Raw genomic sequence first — 3,330 nt, 5'->3', positions numbered from 1 at the left:
TAAGTTGCTCTGCTGCTTAATGTCTGGCATGTACTTTGACCTGCTGCTTCCGGAGGAGTTAGTGCTTTGAGCTGTGCCGCTCTGTTTATTGTTCTGCCAAATTTGTGAACTAAAAACTCAGACTTCCACATTACAGGGGGAAATGACACAAATCGTGGGGTTTGATTCAAACATAATAAATCTTTAAATTTTTATCATGCAATATAGTCACAAACGAATGAATAAAACATTTATCATAAGTTTTAGTGATAATAATGAAAACATTCTTAGAATCAAGATTTATTACATATATTTATAATATATATATAATTAATATATATAATATATAAATATATTTTATATTATAAATATATATAATTATATATAAATATAATATATATTTATAATATTTTATATAGAAATATATATATTTATAATATAATTATATATATATTTTTTTTGCCCCCGCCGCCGCGGATTCTTGCCCCCGACGCCACGGCTTTTTGCCCCCTACGCCGAGGCTTTTTGCGGCTTTTTGCCCCCGCCGCCGCCCCTTTTTGCCGCCGCAGTTTTTTGCTCCCGCCACCGCGGCTTCTTGCCCCCGCCGCCGCGGCTTTTTGCGGCTTTTTGCCCCTGCGGCATTTTGCCCCCGCCGCCGCCGGTTTTTGCCGCCGTGGCTTTTTACCCCCGCCACCGAGGCTTTTTGTCCCCGCCGCCCCAGCTTTTTGCCCCCACCGCCGCCGCTTTTTGCCACCACCGACGCGGCTCTGAGGGCGGGAGCGGCACACTCGGCTGCCGGCTCTACCGGCGTCCTTGTTCGGGCGGAGCCGAGGGGCGCTCCTGGTCCAGCTCTCCCGGCTCGGGGGTTCCTTGCCTAGGCGCCCGCGCCCCGAGCTCCCCGCCTTGGCCGCTGCGGCCTGCATAGAGCGGCGCTGCGCGTAGCGGCCAGGGGAGAGAAGAAGGAGGGCGGTGGCGGGGGTGATGCGGCGGCCTCTTTGGGAGGCGCAGGGGCCGCAGCCAGCCAGACGCTGCAGCAGTGTGGGCAGCTCCAGAAGCTTGTGGGCAGCTCCAGAAGCTTATCCGCATCTCCATTGGCAGCCTGAGCCGGTTGCGCAACAAGTGCGCTGTGTCCAAGGACCTCACCCAGCAGGAGATACGGACCCTGGAGGTAAGGGGGTCGTGGACCCAGGCTGGGCTCGAGGAGCGGCCCAGACACCTCCCTCCGTGCCCGAGTTCACTCCTGGCCGAGTTGCATCCTTGAGCCCGAGTCGCCCCGTTGGAGGCTTCCCCTCCCTCCTGCACTCGCTGATGCGGCAGCCGGAGGACCCGGGACCAGCCCTCACCTTGGGCAGGATCTGTGGGGCGGGTGCGTCGTGGGAACTGGCAGGGAGGCTTGAGGGGCCCATGGGCGAGGTGGGCTGCGAGCGGACATCCCCTTACCCCCTGAATTTCCATCTGGTCCAGCCCTCTCATCTTGTGGGTGAGGAAACCGAAGGCCTGAGGGAGAACTGACTTGCCTGGAACCCCTGTTAAGGAGAATTAACAAAGTGTGGTTATTAAAGGAGCACTGAGTTGGGAGTGAGACCTGGAGGCCCACACCCTTGGTTAAGACATAATACCACCTTGAGTCTGGCCTGTTGACTGAGGGTGAGCCACTCCATCCTCATCTGATTGTGGGGTCTTGACCTCAAGGGGTTGCCTGAAGGAAGAAGCACATGGGTTTGCTTTCCTAGCTCTGTCCAGTACCTTAGGGACCCTGAGGACTGGAGAGATTCTTGGAGAGCCATCTGGTGTATATCATGGGTGGGCCTTTTTTGAAGGTCAGTCTGCCCAGTGGGCTGGCTCAGCCCCAATGAACTGTCTTGAATCTTTGGAGTTGTCTGGGTACTTTTAAGGGCTTCTCATCCTTGCACCAAAAGATCCCCTGGAAATTAGGTGGGAAAACTTTAACTTTTGTGGGGCCTTGTGTTTGTCTTAAAAGTTCATGCACATGGCCAGATGTGGTGGCTCACACCTGTTATCCTGTCCTGGATCCCTTGAGTCAAGGAGTTTGAGACTAACCTGGACAATATAGTGAGACCCTGTCTCTACAAAAAATAAAATATTAGCCAGTGGTGGTTGTGCACATCTGTAGTCCCAGCTACTACTGTGGCTGAGGTGGGAGGAGCACTTGAGCCTGCACTGAGCTGTGATCTCAGCAGTGTACTCCAGCCTGGGCCACAGAGCAAGACCCTGACTCAAAAAAAAAAAAAAAAAAACCAACAAGAAAAATACTTGAAGATTTTTGCATTCTGTCCCACTACCCATTGGTTGTCATGTGAAGATAATGTCAGAAATTCTTTACAATTGCTTCCAGAAGGAGTAGCCTTTTGATCTAGTGCACAGGTGTCTTTTGGCTTCTCAGGGTCACATTGGAAGAAGAATGCTCCTGGGCCACATATAAAATACACTAATGCTAACGATAGCTGATGAGCTTAAAAAAAAAAAAGGTTTGTGCATAATTTTCATGATACCCACCACCACAGATAGGTGGAAAAGTCCTTGTAGTCAAAGGGTTGGACGCGGCTGACCTAGTGTCTTGTCATCCGTTTTGGCTTTCTCCCTGATTCCAGAATGCAGGTATAGATGTAGAGACGTGCTCTCAGGACAGCTGTTGAGATAAAAAATTCTTTGTCATTTATTCCCAAGCACAGCTGTTTGTCATTTGCATTGAAAAAGTCTCCATTCAAACTGCTGTCACATATAAAATCTATTTATGTAAGTCTGTATTTTTCTGTTGTCTTGGCCTTTTGGGCAGTAGAGTGTTTTAACCGAGCAAACTGTCCTTCCAAATAATGAAGTCGAAGTCAGCCTACCTGCTTGCCATTTTTCTTCCCCTTCCATTTTTCTAACTTCAGGATAATTGTAAGAATGAATTAAACTTTATGTTGAAGGCCGGGCACAGTGTCTCAGGCCTGTAATCCCAGCACTTTGGGAGGCAGAGAGGGATGTATCACTTGAGCTCAGGAGTTGAAGACCAGCCTGGGCAACATACTGAGACTCCGTCTTGTAAAATTAAATTAAAATGTTTAAAAAGAAGAGAAAAAGACCTGTGTTTAAATTTTAAAAAAGGGGAAATTGTAATGCAAAATGTGGACTATGCCAGCTATGATTGGGAAAAATAATTTTTCCTACAGCATTATCTGTAGACTTGTATTAGCAGCATACTGGTCATAAGCGTTTTGCTTTCCTCAAACATGATGAGGTAAGCTACTTTAAAGTGTGGTAGGGCTGTCTTCCACGTGGCTCCTGGTGGTGTTGAGTCCCAATTTAGCCAATTAATTTGGGTTTAGTTTTGATGTGGATAAGGGA

The 3,330-nt window shown here is 48.5% G+C and overlaps 1 protein-coding gene across 1 annotated transcript; it reads right to left on the bottom strand.

Moving 5' to 3' along the window:
* Positions 1-780: 780 nt before the first annotated feature.
* LOC105379545 (uncharacterized) lies at positions 781-2,513 on the bottom strand. The gene is made up of 3 exons (XM_011546243.2): positions 2,497-2,513; positions 1,602-1,678; positions 781-1,505 (listed from the first exon to the last, which is right to left on the bottom strand). Exon 3 carries the CDS (start codon positions 1,450-1,452, stop codon positions 781-783), a length of 672 nt encoding a protein of 223 aa, XP_011544545.1. The 5' UTR covers positions 1,453-1,505; positions 1,602-1,678; positions 2,497-2,513.
* Positions 2,514-3,330: the final 817 nt, after the last annotated feature.

Source organism: Homo sapiens, assembly GCF_000001405.40.
Source record: "Homo sapiens chromosome 16 unlocalized genomic scaffold, GRCh38.p14 Primary Assembly HSCHR16_RANDOM_CTG1".
Lineage (NCBI taxonomy): Eukaryota > Metazoa > Chordata > Mammalia > Primates > Hominidae > Homo > Homo sapiens.
The sequence above is the reverse complement of the archived record's forward strand: the minus strand, read 5'-3'. Positions and strand labels throughout refer to the sequence as shown.

Coding starts and splice junctions, on each gene's coding strand:
- LOC105379545 (XM_011546243.2), bottom strand. CDS start 1,452: ATGAGAGGGCTGGACCAGATGGAAATTCAGGGGGTAAGGGGATGTCCG.